Source organism: Homo sapiens, chromosome 12, assembly GCF_000001405.40.
Source record: "Homo sapiens chromosome 12, GRCh38.p14 Primary Assembly".
Classification (NCBI taxonomy): Eukaryota; Metazoa; Chordata; class Mammalia; order Primates; family Hominidae; genus Homo; species Homo sapiens.
The window spans coordinates 74,887,844-74,909,358 of record NC_000012.12 but is presented as its reverse complement, the minus strand read 5'-3'; the positions used below and the strand labels follow the sequence as shown (position 1 = coordinate 74,909,358).

General features: G+C 35.8%; 1 long non-coding RNA gene across 5 annotated transcripts in view; it reads right to left on the bottom strand.

Annotated features, from left to right (window-relative positions):
• LOC105369842 (uncharacterized) overlaps window positions 1–21,515 on the bottom strand; it is an 86,958-nt gene that overhangs the window by 25,023 nt on the left and 40,420 nt on the right. For all 5 annotated transcript variants that reach the window (XR_001749205.2, XR_001749206.2, XR_001749204.2 and 2 more), the window contains exon 3: window positions 10,507–10,605. This is a non-coding gene — a long non-coding RNA (uncharacterized LOC105369842). The remainder of the gene's footprint in view (window positions 1–10,506; window positions 10,606–21,515) is intronic.

Below are 21,515 nucleotides of genomic sequence, written 5' to 3'. Positions count from 1 at the left end.
CGTATGTCTCATGCTTGTAAGTCCATGTTCCATATTTCAGGGTGATAAAGGCTGAGTATTGGTTACTCTGTCTGATAATGTATATTACAGAAGGATCATAATCTTTAGTCTTTATTAATCTCTTTGAGTTTTAAAAGAAAGAAAGGAATAAGCTCCAGGCCAGAGAGTGTTGGAGGTCAAAGAACTCTAGCTGATTAATTTTGTTTGCTGGCTGACATAGTTTGGATATTCGGTCCCACCTAAATCTCATGTTAAATTTTAATCTTCAATGCTGGAGGTAGGACCTGGTGGGAAATGTTTTGATCACAGGAGTGGATACCCTATGGCTTGGTGCTGTCTTCATGATAGTGAGTTCTTATGAGATATGGTCATTTAAAAGTGTATGGCACCTCCCACCTCACTCTCTCTCTTTTGCTTCTACTTTTGTCATCTGACATGCCTGCTCCCCTTTCACCTTCTTCCATGATCAAAAATCTCTCTGAGGTCTCACCAGGAGCTGTCTCAACCTCTGAGGTCTCACCAGGAGCTGTCTCAACCTCGGATAAAAGCATCCCCTCATTTTCTCTGTTTCTACCATAGGTCTACTGACATCTGTAGAAGAAATCTAATTAATTTTTTAAAAATTCACAAAGACTGGCCTGGTGGGCTCTTGGTGCTACTTTTCAGTGCCTTTGTTTATTTATAATCAGGTTTTTTCCCTCTCTTGATAATAGATATCCAATTTTCTCCACTTTCAAGCATTTCTTACCTAATCCTAACTCCCTGTCAGGGTGTGACATTGCCTCTCACAACACAAAGAAAAAATAATTATTGTCATGAAAGGATTCCTTCAATAATTTTATTTTCCAACTCCAGACACACTTGAATAATAATATCAATAATATAAATGATAATAATAATCATTTTTTTCTGAAAATTTGTTTTGTACTTCACTAATTCTGAATTTTTTAACTCATGCTTCAGATTTCTCACCAATAAAGTGGGGATATAATAATACATTTTCATGTTTTTATGAATTAAATAATGTAGTTCCTTGTATATAGTAGATATTGAATAAGTTTTAGCTGTTTCATTACCAACATCATCATTATCACCACTATGCATACGTTTACTAACCATAAACTTGGGCATCATACCTGATGCCTCCCTTCCTCTCTCAACATGCATTTAATTTATCATCATTTCCTCTTGATTCTAGTTCCTAAATGTATCTCATTGTCCCCAGTTTAATTTTCCAAGTTTACCCTACAATTTTGAACATTATTATTACATTTTTATATGTCTTCTTATCTCCAGAACTTTCACTTTCTAATCTAATATTCGCAAAGAATGAGAAGGATCTTGTGAAAACATAAATTTGATCAAATTACCTTTCTATTTAAGCTTATTCCTGAGTCCCCATAAGAATAGATATAAGACTGGAATATGATTTAAATCTTTCCTGCTTAAAGAATTACAAGTGGACCAGCAGCACTGGCATTACTTGCAAAGCTTGTTAGATATTAGTGCTCCATTCAAGATCTACTGAATAGGAATCTAGGTTTTAACGAGATCCCAGATGATTGCTGTGCACATAAATTTTGAGAAACACTGATTTATAGTCTTTTCACCTAGTGCCTACCTACTACTCCAACATGATCTTTTTCCACTTAATTCTCTGACATACTGTATGATCCCGTCCCAACATATTTTTTAAGTCACCGACAACTCTTTCTTCTAGGCCTTTGAATATACTGTTAGATTTGCCTGAACACTATTATTTACCTTCACACCAATATATCCTTTCCAAGTCAAACTCTGTTTGTTAAGTCTATTTGCTTCTTGCAAGTCTTTCAAGAGTGCTGTCCTGACCTCTACCACCTGTTCTATACACCTCCCTTATTGCCTCCATAACACAACACCCTGTGCTTCTCTCATCATAGTTCTCAACATATTTGCATGGTAATTCTTTTGGACCCAGTACAATAAGATCATAAGATGAATTAATGTACCCTTGCTACATTTTCTCCATGATATCTTCAGTGTATAGCAGCATGACAATACATGACAAATGATGGATTAGTGTTTGTTTAAAAATGATAAATAACAAGAATTTTGAGACACAGTATTTGAATAATTTATGCTAACACACAGCTCACAATTAGAGTATAATAAAGTCTGACCACACTCTCAATGTCTAATTTTTCTCCCTTTTGTCTCAGAATACATGTTTCCCCCCTTGAAATAGTAAATCCTTTAGTTTTTCTTGATTCTTAGTCTTTCAAATTCCTCTAGAATATATTTATCCAATTATCTTGTCTCTCTTATATCTATAATCTTTCCAAATTCAGTTGATTCTTATTCTATGTAAACATACATCTTTCTCCCACTTAAATACAAAATAACAAGAAAAATGACAATTTTTTTAGATCAAGGTGTCTTGAAGATGTTCAATGTAATATTTGTAGATCAATGATGTCAAAATTTGGTCCAGAATATTAAAATATGAATATCCATCTTCAGGTACATTACAGAATATTATATAATATATTTCCCTTATGGAGAATTACAACAGTTTTTTAAATACTATCCAGTAGATGATCTGGGGTCAAAGATGGAAGCAAATGATCAGCTAGGAGACCTTTACTTCTATCCTGGATAAAGATGATTGTGACATTGTTCAGAGTCATAGTGATAGAGCTAGAAAACTGGTCAGATTGAAAACATTTCTTAAGGAAGAGGCACGAGAGCTTTCTGATCAGGCATGCAATATGAGAAGAAAAAAGTCATAGAAGATTCTAAAATTTTTGTTCTAAGCAACTGGAAGAATGGCCATGCTATTATCTATATGGAAAAGGTTTTGAGACGATCGATGTACTTGGCCTCTAAGATGCGAATGGTGGAAACGGAGAAGCTGTTGTTCTCTGGGACACCTACAGGCAGACATATGAATGGACAGAAAATGGTTTTCAGCAGCTTCTGGGAGTGCTCCTGGAGATCACCTTCTATGGTGTTGTAGGCTGCTGAGATGATTGGTGGTGACTAAGCGGTGGTGTAGGCATTTATTGATTTCATAAATTGTAGCAGAATATTCCCTGACCATCATAAACTCTACTCTTCTAGCAGACAGGCAAGTCTTTAATTTCCTTTGTTAACGCCTTTTTACTTTGAATTCTAGAGTAATTTCTGTTTTCCAGACCAAACTAACTGATACTGGCGTGAACACCATCCTCTGAGAAAGTCATATTACAGGTAGATTAACAAGATGAGGGAATGTTGACTGAAGAAGTAAATGATATCAAGTATTTTGCTTATCACGTAGTCTGAGTTCTAGAGATTTGTTGAAAAGGTTTCAGAAGTTGGAAAGGGTTAGGAGATGGAGTTAGATTTTCTTATGGCATTGAGAATCAAGCTTGCCATATAGTCTGAGTTCTAGCGATTTGTTGAAAAGGTTTCAGAAGTTGGAAAGTGTTTGGAGATGGAGTTAGATTGTCTTATGGCATTGAGAATCTAAGTACTAAAGGATAAACCTCGGTCTTGAACTTCTTATGATTAGTATGAACAGAGATAAAGATGTGATTAATTCTGATAATGTTCTATGAAAGTTATTGTAGTATTGGAAAATTTGTGTTAGATAGTACTGGAAAATAGGTGTGAGGTTTATAAGGACCATAAAATATTTGTTTAAAAAAATCAATTCATGGTTGCCACAGGAACCTTTTAAAAAGTTATATTTAACACTGTAAATATTTTATTGTTATTATTATCATTATAATTAAAGTATATGCTAAAAGTTACAGATATCCAAATAGCTATTTAATGATCAAACAAAATTACCCATAAGAATAAGTGTATAGTATTTACAGAGATGAATAAGTAAATTATAAGAATATAACAGAAAATATATAATCTTAGAAAATCCCTTAATATTATACTATATTGATTTGCTCCTAGAGTATTGCCTGAAAAATATGACTCATATATTTGGTGATTTTTCAGGCATTTGAGAAAATGTTGGTGAAAGCAATAGTTTCTCTAGCTTTTTAAGTGATGGGAAGAAAAGAACATAAGCAACAGCAAAACAGAGAAAGTACATTTGACACATTTTCCTATAAAAATATCTTATATATGTTCACCATATTTGCCTCCTCAATCAACCAAGTCATTCACATATTCTTTCATTCATTTAGTAAACTTATATTTGATACTAATGGTCAAAAATATGGTTGATATTACAGAGATTAACAGGAAGAAAGAGCACCATTTAAGCAGATTATGGAATTACAACATTGAATATTCTAACATTGCTGATGGACAAAGTAGTGAAAACACAGAAGAGACTCATTATGTCTGAGGATGCTGGAGGAGGCCTTACAAAAAAAAAAGAGAGCTTTAAAATGCTCCTTGAAGATGGAGGTGAGGTTTTTAGCTCCAGGAAGAGGAAAGAACATGTGTAAAATCTAGATTATCACAAGGTCATTGTTGCTTCAGTCATGAAAAAAGTCCTGAAAAACTGTGGCATGAGGACCAAGAGAACCTAAAATTAAAAGGGCAGCTAAAATGACTTTCTATGTGACGGGGTACCAGTGTGTGTTTTAATATACAGGCAATTAGAAGTCAAGAAAAGTATTTAAATAAATTACATTTGTGTTTTTTAAGAAAGTCTGCCAGCTGTGTGTTCTGGAATAAGTGAGTTAACTGATGGCCATAGGGGTGAGGATTATTTAGAAACACTGCTGTATTCAAGCAGTTCTTAGAACAAGTGAATATTTCCACATGATATTATGTGTTTAAAAAGGGCAACAACAAAAAGCAGTTAGATCTGATTCCACTATTTGTATTATATCTCATATCCACTATTTTTCAAGATACCAGGTTAGCATTATATGCTGTGTATACATAAATATAAATAATTATACTTATATACATAAAATCATATATATACATGTGTATATCTATGTATACACATGTATATATATACATACATATACATATATACACATATATCTCTATATATAGATATATCGCTAAGTATCTGTATATAAAGATATATCTCTGTGGATATATATGGATATATAGAGATATATCTATATGACCTCCAAGATATATATATGTATATATAGATATATCTCACTATATATAGACACTATTTTAAAGCAGTATAAAGTCATCTATTTAATTTTTCTAAAGAAGGGAAGTCTATGACCAGATTATCTTCTAAGAGAGCAAATTATCTAAAAATTAATTAAGTCCTCAATTTGGAATATATTCCACACTTTTTTGGTAGCATATGTGTCTCCCCAATTGTGATTTAATTGATTAATAACATTATGAGTTTGATCCTCTCAGGAGGTGGTGGTTGGGCATGGGGAATGTGTCTCAGAAATATATGAAGAGGCCAAAGGAGTCTAAGTAGTTTGTTGTTTCATGTGGGGTTTGGACAGTTGCAAAGACAGCATTTATAGTGGGAAAGAGAGAGTGAAGCATCCACCAAAAACCTGGACAGTTCTTGCTATGGTAAGTGGCATAGCTTATTCATCCAACTGTCAGGAGTGTAATGTGGTGATGATTCACAGATTTCCATTGACAAGGGAAGTTTCCTCAGTCCAAGCCTTGCACTGTCAAGGTGGGCAGACTAGGCAGCCCATTCACAATGATTGGTCTATTCAGGGTTACAAAAGCCCAAGTCCTGTTGCTCCAATTCAGAACAACTCTCAAGGGCCATCCCAGCTTTAGCGCCCCCTGTAGGATTGTATGAAGCCTGTTTATAACATTGTAGTTCAACTTCTGCCTTCATCTTCTCCTGTATCTTTCCCTCTCTTATAGGTGCTGATCTCATTCCCCAAGAAGCCACCTACCTAAAAATATTTGTATCCTGTAGAACTAAACTGAAATGACTATGTTAGCTGATAAAAATACAGAAAAAATAGAGTGGAGATTTTACAAAAATAATAGCTTATAGGGATATTACTAAAATCCAATTGATAAATTCTCATATTTACTCCTTTCTCTTAGAGCATTTGGACTGTATTTTTTATGTGTGTATCTTTCATTCACACTTGCATTCTTTCAGCAATATTTGTTCATTTTTTTTTGTTTCTAAGGGAAAATATTTGGCACTGGGAATACAAATATTGAATAACATATGAACTCCCATTAGAGATTGTGACTAATTTAGAAAGGCTAAAGATCAAGAAAATAAATGATGGTGAACTGTACATAGCCCATGAGAAATCTCCATGTAATTCAAAAAATTATGGAAGTCATTGAAGGATTTTAGGTACTCTCTGACATATTCATATTTGTACTGGTAAGAAAATCACTTTGGGAAAAGTATGTAGAATATACTGATAAAGAAGGAGACTGGAGATCGGGAGGCCAAGTAAAAGGCAATTTCAATATTCCAGGTGATCTGTGTAAGGCTGAAGCAAAATAATAAGTGCAGGGATGCAGATGAGAGGGTGCATTTAAATTATAATTAGAAGCAAACAACTTACAGAACTTTAGACAATGGGTGAAGGAAGTGATGAGTAGAACTGGATGGACTGCAACTCTCAGTATTCTGTTTTGGCCTTTTGGTTGTCCTTGTTGTCACCGAACAAAATAAAGATAAAAGTAGAACATACAGCTTGATGAAGGAGAAGAGAAGGCATTTGGTTCAAATTTAGACAATTGAAGACATTGCAGTGTACAAGATCTCCAAGGGGTAGAATACATAGTGAAAGAAAAAATGGCTGATGAGAGAGTAGGGCAGAGTAAAGCAACCAGAAAAGAATTGCAAATAAGATTGCAAAGGAGCTAGGGGGAGAATCAGATGAGGAAGAGAAGATGATACTATGGAATCCAAGGGATGAGATATTTAAGAAAGCATAGTAATCAGTACTGAAAGTGACAGTCAGATAAGAAGATACTAGAAAAATAACTTTTGCTTTAGCAATCAGCACATTATTGTAAGACTTAATTAGTGCAATTCTAGTGAAATGATGAGGTAATAGTAAGAATCCAAACATTGTGAACTGACAAATAAGAGAAAGTTATGTAAGAAAGATAATGAGTTTAAGTTATTCTTTGGTCATCCTAGAAGTGAAAGAAAGAAGAAATAATAGGTAGAGATAAATTCAAAGGCAGATGTTTTAAAAATTTATTTTTTATATTTTAATTTTTAAGATAGAAAACACTTGACATGTAAGCAGAAAGGAAGAACTAGCAGTGGAGAAAACATTGTCAACATAAAACAAAATATGTTAATGGCTGGAGAAAAGGTCAATAGAATGCTGGTGAACATAGTATCTACAGTAAGGGTAACGTACTTCATAAAGGAATAGATTTATTTCTTTAGAGATGAGAGGAAAATAATTATGGGTATACAAAAGTTTGCAGGTTGGATGAGGAAAGCAGCTGGTGGTAGACACTGTTTAGGATGATATCCATTTCTCATACATAATAGAAAAAAAATTATGCTAAAGGAGAAGAGGTTAGAAAGCTAGAGAAGAATGTGAAAGATTTTGAATACAGCTGAGTAATGTGAAGCTCCTCAATGTCTATAAATAGGTTAATTACTAAGAATTACTGAGAGTAGATGTGTTTATGAATCAAAATTTTGTAGGATTACCAATCCTCACAGTAAAATGATCTTGTCCAGTCATTTTGTTCAAAAAATAGGTGAAGTATTTAAACAATGAACAGGATTATTTGCACATCTGAAATAGAAACGTCTGCCTTCTTTTCACATGTGCTTTGACCATGACTTTGGACAACTTGGAGAAAAAGACAATATGGTGTGTGTGTGTGTGTGTGTGTGCGTAAAACATAAATTCCCAATGGTAAATAAAAGTCATGATCATGGGAGTAAAAAAAATCACTGAGAAGAAATCTTACAATTGGATTGTAACTAATAATTCTCAAGTATGACACAAAAACTTCTCAACATGAAGTGTTGTGAACGGAATCTGAGTTTAAGCTGTGTCTTTAAGATCTGATCAAGAACTGTTTTCCATTTGCTTGGTAGATTTTGGTTCATGTTATGATTTAATAAATTTGCAAAAGATTTTTTAAAAATCTGATCAGAAAAGATCAAAACAAGGTATCATTCTTTTAGAAGCAACCAATGTGATATTTTGGTAAATAACTAATGTTACTTTTCCTTAGTTTTATGAACAGTCTTCCCCTAAAATTTTTTGGGAATCACTTTCTTGACTGCTCCTGTGTGAATGTTTCCATGTGTATAATAAAGCGCTGTCAAGGGTTCACCTCAGTTGTTCCTGTTTCTTTAACAACGGGGAAGTGGGGATCACTTATAAATACAAAAATTGGGTATGTTTTTTCTCCAGAGTGTGAATGAAGTAGCCCTGTGTGATAGACTTAGGGTGACTTAATTTATAGGAAGCCAAGAGACTCAGTGACTTAGAAGAAGAGTGATTAAAAGGCTGTGATCCGCTGTGCACATGAACCATTTAGTTTAGTAGATTTGTAAGACAGCCATCATACAGTGATAACTAAGATTATTAATTGGAAAGAGAGCATTTGTGGCTCAGGGAAGAAACATAATTACTCCAGGGTGTATGTATGCACTTGTGTGTGAGTGAAGAAGAGGGCCCTCAAAAATTGGGTCAAACGTGTTGTTTTCATAGATGAATTATCAAGTATTTATTTTTTGAGTGAACTAGTCATCAGTTTTATAGGGAATGTATCTGAATACCCAGTTGCTCACAATTATGATTTTCCCCCAATTTATACTTCAACAGCTACTCCTATGCAAAATTGTCAGTAAGTTTTCAAATGCAGGAAAAAACCCACAGACATAGGCTTATATAACCAATAAAACACAAATAGTGCATCAAAGATCAGCAATCCTTACCGTGTACATGTAGGTTAAGACCACAAAAAAGGTCTAACTATGCTTGAGGAGCTAAACTATGGTTGCTGTGGAAACGGAACTTAACTTTAAGGCTTTGCACTGTGGTGCATAGAAAATTTCAAGCCGACTGTGCAGTAATGTCAGCTTTTTCAGTGAATATACAGCATCAGTTGCAGGAAACCGCATGAATGGAAGATAATGAGTTCCCAAGACTGACAACATTAAACACACAGAGACACAAACAGACAAACATACATCTAACTTTTTAGAAGCATAATTGCATATTATATATTTTTAAAAAATATTTCATTTTTCTACTGTTTTTTAAAATTATTTTCAATGGCAAATTTCTCACTATCCCTCAGCATTTATAAATGCAATTTGCAACATCAGTTTAAAGATCTCTCCTTTTTATCCTGATAATAGTGCTTATGAATGCTGTCTAACATCTCTCTCATCAATGTTTCCACTGATGTACTATAAATACACCAAGGAGGCCTTAGGCCATGATAATTTTTAAAATTATTTTGTTCCATGGACAATATTGAACAAGTATGAAATTGAATATATAGAGATATATAGACGTAAGTTTAGCTAACATGAAAGTGATATCTCTTATAAGTCGAATCCATAAACAAAGTACAGTTACATTTTTATGTCCCCAGATAGAAGACTGCTGATACACAGGCAGAATGCACTTTATACAAATTACTTGCCTACCGTGCCTCATATTTCTCTATAATAATTTTGTTATTCACATTTCCCAGTGTGACCCAACTAGAAAAAAAAAAAGAGCTAGGGCATATAGGTTATAATGAAAGTACTCTAAAGCAGCCTTTGTCTCAGAGGCTACTCTGACACTTCCTTATCGCTGTCACCGCACTAGCCTTGCTCCAGTTCACTCCTTTCTCTTGTTAGAGTCCTTGAGTTACTAAAACCTTCTCACCACAGCCAGTGACATTCACCTCTGATTCCACTGATGCTGGCCTTCCCTCCTCATTTCTCTGTGGCCTTGGTCCTGCCTTTTGCCATTTCTCCAGGTGATGCTGACTCACATTTATGCTAACTTTGAGAGTGGCTATTGCTTTCTGGTTAATTCTCAGGTTAACACAGGGCTGACCCAGTAAGTATTATGGAAGACTTTTTTAACCACAGCATTGAGGTTGGGGAAAGACTTTATCCATATAGTGAACAATTCTTTAATTAGATGCTCAAATAGAGATAAAGGTTTTTTTTTTTTCTCTGAGTCATCTACATTTTTTAGTGCTTTAGTGCTTTGATTTATTCTTTCAATTTCTTACTTAATCACCCTCACAATCCCCTTGCGAAACTTTTCATAAATCCAACCTGCATACAAACTAAAGAAATATAAAGAGTAATTCATAGAGAAGTATTCAAAATTATTCTGCCTCATCATGAACAATGGTTGTTTTTCCTCTGTGTATTAATTGTCTCAATTTTCTTTTGCTTAATTTTCTATATATTGTTTATTAATTTAGTCCCAAAGCTTTCTGACAATGTTTAAAATTCTTCTCAATTTCATTAAATACATTGTGTATTCTCTCAATTTGCTTCATAACCTCCTGTCTTTTTATCCAATCTTTCTAACACAATTGTATACAATTTACCAAGGGACCATCTTTTGCCAACATCTTGGGGATTCTCTTTACCTTTCTCTTGGAATCCCTGTTACTCCCACTTTCCTCATTCACATTGTTTTTATCTTGGTTTAATCCTTCTTCTGTCTAGAATACATCCACCATAGTTTCCTGAAAGACAGGACATAGGAAATAAATGTTAAGAGGCCTCTATGTGTGAAAATATCTATTTCCACTTTCATATTGGATTTCATATGGTTTTGTGTATAATTACAAATAATTCCCACTTGTAATTCTGAAAGTTCTGCTTTTTTTTTTTTTTTTTTTTTTTTTGAGATGGAGTCTCTCTGTGTCACCCAGGCTGGAATGCAGTGGCCTGATCTCGGCTCGTTGCAACCTCCACCTCCCGGGTTCAAGCAATTCCCCTGCCTCAGCCTCTGGAGTAGCTGGGATTACAGGTGCATGCCACCATGCCCAGCTAATTTTTTTTGTATTTTTAGTAGAGATGGAGTTTCACCATGTTGGTCACACCGTTCTTGAACTCCTGACCTCAGGCAATCCTCCCACCTTGGCCTCCCAAAGTGCTGGGATTACAAGTGTGAGCCACCGCGCCCGGCCAGTTCTGCCTATTCTTTCTTTCCTTTGGGAAACAACTTCACTTTTAGCCCACTGCCTCTTTGGAACTGAAATCATAGCATGCCTGTGTTCCAGCCATAGGGGTACTTGTAGGCCATGCAAACTTACAATTTAGAGTACTGTACGCTGTTGGCATGGAGAGCATTTCAGAAATGGCTCTGCGACTCCTACAGCTTAAGTGAGAACTTTACCAAGAATTTGACACATAGGTTCCAGGAGAGAGAAGATTTATCTTTCTCTAGAATCATGAACCATAGAGACCTTGTAAATCTAGAGATGCCTGCAAAACCTCCCCCTGGCCACATGAAGGCATATATTTACATAATGATGACAACACGAAGACACAGAGAAGCAAGTAAACTTGAAGTTTCTGCAGAAAGACACAGGACCTAAAGAGAAAGAGCCTTAAAAACAATGTTTTCACCTCTAGAACCAATCATACCGAAGCTAATAATTATCCATTTTATAAGGTTATTCTGAATTTCAATTCTGTTACTTACAAATGAAAGGATATTTAATAAAAATACATGTTAAAATTTGATGAAACTGAAACTAAATGAACCAATTGCTCTTCTCTGATCACACCCATTGAATGTCAGAGGCAGGTTTTCAGCCCATGTCTCTTCTGATGCACTACAATTTCTTGTTTCAACATGCCAAAACACAAGTCCTGAATTGTGGTATGGTTATGTGCTGCAAAGCTTCTGGCTTTTATTATTTATGATGTCACTAAACAAACAAACAAAAATGAAAACAAGTCATAAGCCAGGCAGTGGTTCACACCTGCACTCTAAGAGGCTGAGGCAGGTGGATTACTTGAGCCTAGGAATTCGAGACCAGCTTGGTCAACATGGTAAAACCCCATCTCTACCAAAAATACAAAAATTAGCCAGTCTCGTAACCTGATCTCTAAATAAATAAATAAATAGATAAAAATTAAAATAATAAAAAAGCATAGTCAGTATCTATTATATATCTGTTTCTGTGTCTAGCACTTTTTTTCCTCTGGTTAGTTGCTAAGTTCAAACATAAAATAATGTATTTATACATAAATATATTTGTGTGTGTGTTGTGTGTGTATAGACATGCCCTGAAAAATGACATTTCAGTATTGATGAACTGCATGTACAGAGTTGGTCCCATAAGATTATAATGGACCTGAAGAATTTCTGTCGCCTAATCAAGCACAATGCATTACTCAGGTGTTTGCGCTAAATGCTGGTGTAAACAAAGCTACTGCACTGCTAGTCACATGAAAGTATAGCATATAAAATTATATGTACAGTACCCCATTTTTGACAATAATAATCAGTGATTATGCTACTGGTTTACATATTTACTACACTATACTTTTCATCATTATCTTAGAGTGTACTGCCTCTACTCATAAAACAAAAAGAGTTAACTGTAAAACAGCCTCATGCAGGTCCTTCAGGAGATATTTCAGAAGGAGGCATTGTTATCACAGGAGATTTAGCTCTGAGCATGTTATTGCCCCTGAACACCTTCCAGTCAGACAAGAAATGGAGGTGAAAGACAATGATATGGATGATTCTGACCCTGTGTGTGTCTAAGCTAATATGTGTGTTTGTGTCTTTGTTTTCCATAAAACAGCTTAAAAGCTTAAAAAGAATAGAAAAAACTTTATAGAATTTATTGTATATATACATATATTCTATAAGTATATACAAATATACTTTTGTATAGCTGTACAATGTGTTTGTGTTTTAAGCTGTTGAGTCCAAAAATTAAAAAAAAAATAAGTTTATAAAGTAAAAAGGTATAGTGGGCTAAGCTTAAGCTATTATTGAAGAGAGTATTGTTTAAATAACTTCAGTGTAGCTTAAGTGTAGAGTGCGTATAAAGTCTACAATAGTGTTCAGGAATTTCCCAGTCCTTCACATTCACTCACCACTGCTCACTGACTCACCCACAGCAGCCTCCAGTCCTGTAAGCTCCATTCATGGTCAGTGCTCTAAAAAGGTGTTCCATTTATAAAAATCTTTTATATTGTATTTTATTGCATCTTTTCTATGTTTAGATATGTTTACATATACAATTCCCATTGTGTTACCATTGCTTATAGTTCAGTACAGTAACCTGCAGTACAGGTTTGTAACCTAGGATCAATAGGCTATAAACCCATATAGCCTAGATGTGCAGTAGGCTATATTTCTAGGTGTGTGTAAATATACCCTATCATGTTCACACAAGGAAGAAATGGCCTAATGACTTCTCAGAATGCATCCCCATCATCAAGCAACATATATGATGTGTGTGTATTTGTGTGTATGTGTACAAAGACCTCAAAACTTGTGCTAATATACATTCGTTTCATTAGTCCTGATGACAGTACTGTCCAAGGGAGTACATCGCAAAAACCTGAGTCTCCTGGATTCTCGCATATTTTCACTTCACCATCACTGTTCAGGTCATCCTGCAAAGCTCTCATGTGCTTTTAGCTTTTCCCTGGCACTTTTCTTTAGTTCAGTTTGAGAAAAATCATTCAAATATTCAACATATTTTTATAAATGTATCATAAATATAAAAATAAATATTTTTCCAGTTAAACTAGACATATTTTCCTAAACTGAAATTCCAATAGTTGTTTTTATGAGGTTGTGTTGATTTTTGTTAAGTGTTTATTTTGTAAGATAAATAAATATTGATAGATTTTCTTTAATAAAAATGACAAGGAAAAAGTTAAAATACTAAACAACCATATCTACTTGCTTGCCTATTTCCTATTTTTATGGTTCCTTTAAGACACTTTCTACTTTATGATCTTGTCAAAAGAGATAAAACTAAAAGGAATAGAGAGAGAAATCTAAAACTTAGCAAAGAGAGGACAACTTGGTGTCAATGATGTCACAAAGTGTGTATTCTTATTTTTTTTGATTGATGTTTCTTCATCATTATCATGATCTCAACCCAAAGTTACATCAAGTCTACAGGACAATACCTTCCTTTGAATAATCTAACACATAACCATAGTTTTTTTTTTTTTCTTTTTTTTTTCTTGAGACAGTATCTCACTGTGTCGCCCAGGCTGGAGTGCAGTGGCACTATCATGCTCACTTCCATCCTTGACTTCCCCAGGCTCAAGTGATCCTCCCACCTCAACCTGCCAAGTAGCTTGGACTACAGGAGCATGCTACCAAGCTTGGCTAATTTTTGTATTTTTTTTGTAGAGACAGGCTTTCACCGTGTTGTCCATGTTGGTCTTGAACTCCTGGGCTCAAGCTACACACCTACCTCAGCCTCCCAAAGTGATGGAATTACAGGCATGAGCCACTGTGCCCGGCCATTTTCCATTTTCGAATTGGATATATTCTCATTAAATATATACGTTTTTCTTATGAAATATCTTTTAAGTTCTGGACTGGCAAATTCTTTAAGTATCTCTTGTTTTATGGAATAATACAGTGAATACTTACAGTGTTTGCAAGAACTGGCCTAAACTTTAGGCAGTGATAAATGATCCATTTGAGATAAATGTTTATTTTCAAATGGGACAATTTCTACATTTGCATTATAATGGTTGTATTTATTATTAGGCTCCGAATTTGAATAAGCTCTCTCTGCAATCCACTTCTCAATTTCTAAAATAATTATCTTTATAATACTGTGAAGACAGAGAGATGGTTAGGATTCCATCTTTTTCTCTCCATGTCCCTGTGTTATTTGTAGTGTAGTGGAGTTACATTTCTACCATCAATGTGCTCAAATGATGGAGAATTAATATTATATGCAACCCAGGTAATGAATTATCAGTGGTGAAAACTCATACTTGTGCATCTGCACTCCCCTGGTCTGGGTTACCCTAGAGGATTAGAACTGATGCTTTTAAGTGATCAGTTGTCACAGAACAATAGATCCTGAAGAACCTGATGATCAATAGCAGTTGTGCTGCCCACACCACAATTTTCTGGACCAGGAGACCATTCTACACTGACATGGCTGAGATAGCCTGGATTCCACTAGTAGTAATTTTCTTTTAAATTTGGTTAAATGCTTTGCTACAAGCACCGTCACCAAAAATATACCTTATTTGATGTCTTTTAGCAGTGCCTCCAGGTGCTGTAAACTATGCCATCATTCAACTTTACTAAAAACTTTAACTCCTCATCACAAAATTTTGAGGGCCTCTTGGATGGAGAAACTTAACTTTTGAAATAAAAATTTTAGACTTTCTTTCTTTTTTATTATTATTATACTTTAAGTTCTGGGATACATGTGCAGAACGTCTAGGTTTGTTACATAGGCATACACATGCCATGGTGGTTTGCTGCTCCCATCAACCCATCATCTCCATTAGATATTTCTCCTAATGCTATCCCTCCCCTAGCCCCCTACCCCCTGACAGGCCCCGGTGTGTGATGTTCCCCTCCCTGTGTCCATGTGTTCTCATTGTTCAACTCCCACTTATGAGTCAGAACACGTTTTCTGTTCCTGTGTTAGTTTGCTGAGAATGATGGTTTCCAGCGTCATCCACTTCCCTGCAAAGGACATGAATTCATCCTTTTTTTGGCTGCATAGTATTCCATGGTGTATATGTGCCATATTTTCTTTATCCAGAAGTTTATGTTTCTCCTTGCTCAAAGTAGTTTGTAGAGAGAGTAATTGCCACTGTGGTCTGTTCTATTTCTTTCACTCTTCAACCTTTTTGTGTGCAATTTACGTAATGGTGAACAGGGGTATTCTGGGACCTGACTGCCCAAATTCTTTTCCCAGCTCTGCTATGTATTATTTGTGTGACTTTAGGAAAATTATTTAACCTGTGACTCCTTTGTCAGAGGTTAAATTTAAGATTGTGCTAGCATTAAATGACTTGATATCTATAAAGTGCTTTCTCTAAACAGTGCTTGGCACATAGTGTCAGCTATTGTTACAGGTGTAGAAACAGTCCTCATTTAAAACACTGAGCCCCATCACCCCCTTTAAGCAACACTTCTGTTTTAAAAATGCAAATCCCAGTTTTAAGCTCAGCATAGAATAAGAGTATATTGTTTAAAAAAAGGGAGGGGGTTTCAAGAGACATGAAAATTTACAGATGTATGCCATAGCCACTGTATTATCGCATGCCTTCTCTTTGCTTTCTATCTCTTCTCCAGCGCACCTTGGCAGCCACTCAAAAGCCTGGAGAAAGTGTCAAAGCCTATTCAGTTTTTCAGTTTAGTTGACCTTGTGACCAGGGGTGCTGCCCCTGCTTCACCTGGTGAAATAATCAGAATCCTGCTGGTGCTTCCTCAGGAGACAGTGAGGCTCACCACTTGCAGCAGGGCTCTGGATTCCAATGTCCAAATTCTTGCTGTAGCAATTACTATGTTCCTTGGTCACATGGATTAACTACCATTGCCTCATCTGGAAAATATGGGTACTAATGTGGCTCTCTTAAATATTTGTGAGGCTTACATAAGATAATCTAAGTAAAATACCATTAATGGCTAATTTCAATAAATTTATCACAGTATCCTAGAGCCCAAGCTAGAAAATTACAGTACATGAGATTCTTTATAACAAAGTCAATGTTGAGAAGGAGTAAAATTTGAAAGGTGGTAGTGAGAGCACTTAATTGTGACCATGAGAGCAAGAACAGCTACCCTCCCGCAGCTTCATCTTAGGATATAATGTGATCCTTGCCGCTGCTTTCCTTCTTTTTATTTTTTTGTGATCCCTGGAAAATTCTAATATTTGATGTATTCAAAACATGTAATTCTTGTTTGATTCCAAAGACTGTCAAATGAATAAATAATATGTTCGTACTTCAAGCTTCATCTGGTTTTATTCAGCGTTGCTATTTTTGCTCACTCGCTGTACTTTTGTGTGTCCTACTTCCTCTTCTACCTTCTTACAGATAAAATCTTAGATGATTTCCTTTAATCTTAAAAAGCTTTTCATAATGATAAAAAAATAACTCTGCAGTTCAGAAGCCAGGTGCACTTTTTAGTTATCAACAGTGATAAAAATGCTCTCCCCAAATGCTTTCATTGTATTGAGATTCCTTCAGCAGCCATAGTCTTGCTTTTGCAAAGCTGTGGAGAGGTCATTCACTTCATTCAAATTCTGTGGCTCTGTGAATTTTCAATGTATGTCTAAAAAGCCTATGAAGCCAATAGCTCTTCACTCCCCCCAGCTTCACTGTGTCGTGATAAAGGTCTTTTATCAAAACTCTTCACAGGTTTTTAAAATTATTCATCTCCTATCTTTACCAATCTCTTCCTTAATTTTTTATCCTAATGTAGAAAAGATTTAACATAGCCATTTAAGTAACCCACAACCAAATATTGTAAACCTATTTGAAAGTGCCTTCTTCTTTATTTTTATTCATTTTTTCTTTGAAATTGTGTATTTAAAATAGGAGGGAGGGGCATCCACAACAGCTGGTTGTATATTATCTGTCTTTGTAACAGCTGAGAGAAAAGATCAGTTAATTCTCCTTGAGAAGCAACTGCAGATGAAATTATCAGGCCAATTTGTCTATTTTAGATGGCTATTTTAAATAGCCCTTTACATCACATGACATTGAGGATCACCTTAAAAGCAGATGATAGTTAACTAAGGAAATATGCCCACCACACATATAAATTATGGGTTTTTCAAATTGGAAACACTGGCCTTGAAAAGGAAAGATGGATTCTTTGAGACCCTATAAAATTTTCTGTTTTCCACATTTTGCAAGATGAAGAAAACTAAGGGAGCTCAATTCTGAGATGCAAAAAACCTGGACCCCAATCCCAAAATGGCTTACATAATAATTCTCTAACTCAAGGATGAGATTTTTTTTAAGAGTGACTCATTCCCCTGTTATTTAAGATAAGTTTATTAGTATTAGATCCCTATCTGTAGTGTCGTGAAGATGAAACATGAATTGGCATTTTGATGAGATTGAGTAAATAATACTACTTACCTATGCATTTTTATTTTCCATGTTATCTCAATATTTTTAAATTTAATATATGCCAGCTTTATGTCAGGCCAGATGCTTCACATTCCTTATCTTTAACCACTATAAAAATCTTACAAGGTATCTAGTTTATAATCTCAAAGCTGAAAGGTTCCAGACAACTTTCTAATATATTTTTGTGCAAATGATGATGATCCCACTAACTTTAGGGAAGATAAGTGGAGAGTTAGAAAAATGAAGCTTCTAGCAACACTCAAAATATAATTCTGATTCTAGCTATATGGTATGGGTCCCATATAACTGCGTGAGAAAAAGGAACCCAGTGATCCTGACGTAGTTGGTTCTTGTATCTTGTTGTTACCTGGGTTAGACAAAATTGCTTGCAGTTAAAGTTGTTCAGCCATCTCTCCATATATGCAAAATGAAAGAAAATTGTTTCTATTTTCTTAATATCTATATATATTGCACAAATTATATTTGTGCAAATCCATTTAGCCAGCCTCCAAAATTTCAAATGAAATTAGTTTCAAATAGTTTTCAAATTACCAAATGAAATTTTTTGCAGTGTAACTATATGGTACATACTGAAGACTCAATATTCTTTATGATGTTCCTGAATGCATCTGGGAGGTTTTTTTTTGCTGTATTTAATCAATTTCATGTTTGTAATGTATTACATTAACTCAGTCTAGTTTTCTTGTCTTTATTAAACAGCCTTCTTTTAATGTTTGAAATCACATTTATAGCCAAAGACAAAAATCTTTGATAATTCTGCTTTAAGTAGCTTCCAAAATTAGAGGCTAGTTTATGTAACTATGTTAATATTCTCATTCCATAGATGGATACTAAAAGAATATGAAGGGTTTGTTGGTTTATTACACAGGGACACTGCATTGACGGTATCACATGTGTTTCTTTAGTATGGTAGCTGCCAGCAGAAACTCCGGTTTTAGTGAAGCTTTGCACAGGCTCTTACCTCTTGCCGGGACTGACTCTGTTATAAATAGCTTGGCCATGACTCATCATTAGACTCATATCAGGAATCAGCCTGAGCTCCTCTGGCTTACTCAGAGATTTGCCCTGCGTTATGGCTCATATTTTTATATTCATATAGAGTGGATAAAATTCATTTAATGGACTTTTCTCTGCTATTCTATATTACCAAATGGGGTGCAATCATTTTGTGATTTCTGGGTGGCTGAATTTTTGAGATATACTCTTGCTGTGTGAGCAAGTCATCAACCGTAAACAGTGTTATCCTACATCCTTACCACCAGATGAGAATACCTCAGAGGTTGAACAGCACACACTCTCTCTCCTCTATTACACACACACTCTCCTCTCTCTCTTTCCTCTGTGTGTGTGTGCACACACACATGTTTAGGACAGGAAAGAGACGGGGAGGATAACTTGAATTCATCAGAATTTTCCAGTGGGGAAAAGAAAATTCCAATATCCTATCACTGCAGATGCTAGAAGAAGGTGACTCTATCTCACCTGCCACATGTTTTGTATCGATCTGACACCCTTTCCCTACATAATATTAAGGGGTTGGCATTGCTAAAAACCATGAGCAAATAAGTGAGATTTGAGTAAGATATACAAGGATGTATGAGTCACATATTAGACAGGGGAATGCTGTTAGCTGCCATAACAAACCTCCCCCAAATCAAAGGGCTTTATGTGTGTTCATAAATCTTGTTCCTCATGTCATAATCTACTGTTAGTAGTGTGGATCACCTGAAAATCTCTTTTTGAAAGGGTGACTTGATTATCTGGGCTCCTTTTATTGTGTGGCTTCTCTATCTTGAAGTCATTTTCTTATGGCTACAGAAACAAAGAGAGACAGAGAGAGAGAGGGAGGAAAATTTGGCATTTGAGAGTTTACTTTTGGAAGTGGAATCACATCACTTTGCCCTGCTTTTTATTGTCCAAATCTAATTACAAAGTCACAACCTTACTGCCAGGAAAGCTGGCATATGTCTTAATGTTCTCCAAAACAGGCAAGAGAGTTTCTGAGTAGCTAGCTAGTTCCTTCTTGTTACCCATATCTTTTTCACTATTCCTCACATATAGAAAACGTTCAGCCTACCTCAAAGCTGTCAACCACAAAAGTATGTCAATCATGACATACAGCTCAAATTTTAGGATCTTTAGGTTATGTTAATTCTTTTCAATTGGGTCTAGCTATGACTCCTTTTGGTCTAAGGTTTACTGTCAAAAAAGGTATATTATTTGCACATCCTGCTCCCATCACTACTTAATTATTTAAGGGTGAAACAAGGCGATATGGTTTGGCTCTGTGTCCCCATCCAAATTTCATCTTCAATTGTACTTCCATAAATCCCATGTGTTATGGGAAGGAGCCGGTGAGACATAATTGAATCATGGAGGCAGTTTCCCCCATACTGCTCTCACGGTAGTGAATAAGTCTCACAAGATCTGATAGTTTTATAAGGGATTTCTACTTGGGTGTCTCTCTCGTTCTCTCTTGTACCACCATGTAAGAAGTGCCTTGTGCCTTCTGCCATGATTGTGAGGCCTCTTCAGCCACGTGAAACTGTGAGTCCATTAAACCTATCTTTTCTTCCCAGTCTCTGGTATGTCTTTATTAGCAGCATAAAAACAGACTAATACAGTAAATTGGTACCAGTAGAGTGGGGTGCTGCTGAAAAGATACCCAAAAGTGTGGAAGCAACTTTGGAACTGGGTAACAGGCACAGGTTGGAACAGTTTGGAGGGTTCAGAAGATGGGAAAATGTGGGAAAGTTTGGAACTTCCTAGAGACTTGTTGAATGGCTTGGGCCAAAAGCCTGATAGTGATATGGACAATAAGGTCCAGGCTGAGGTCATCTCAGATGGAGATGAGGAACTTGTTGGGAACTAGAGCAAAGGTGACTCTTGATATGTTTTAGCAAAGAGACTGGTGGCATTTTGCCTCTGTCTTAGAGATTTGTAATACTTTGAACTTTAGAGAGGTGATTTAGGGTATCTGGCAGAAGAAATTTCTAAGCAGTAAAGCATTCAGGAGATACCTTGGGTGCTGTTAAAGGCATTCAGTTTTATAAGGAAAGCAGAGAATAAAAGTCTGGAAAATTTGCAGCCTGACAATGTGAAAGGAAAGAAAAACCCATTTTCTGAGGCAAAATGGCAGCAGAAATTTGCATAAGTAATGAGGAGCCAAATGTTAATCCCTAAGACAATGGGGAAAATATCCCCAGGGTATGTCAGAGGTCTTCAAGGCAGCCCCTCCCATCACAGGCCCAGGTACCTAGGAGGAAAAAGTGGTTTCATAGGCCAGACCCAGTGTCCCCATGCTGTGTGCAGCCTAGGGACTTGGTGCCCTGCCTCCCACCACTCTAGCCATGGCTGAAAGGGGCAAACATATAGCTCAGGCCGTGGCTTCAGAGGGTGCAAGTGTCAAGCCTAAACCTTGACAGATTCCACGTGGTATTGAGCCTGCCAGGGCACAGAAGTAAAGAATTGGGGTTTGGGAACCTCTGCCTAGATTTCAGAGGATATATGGAAACACCAGGAT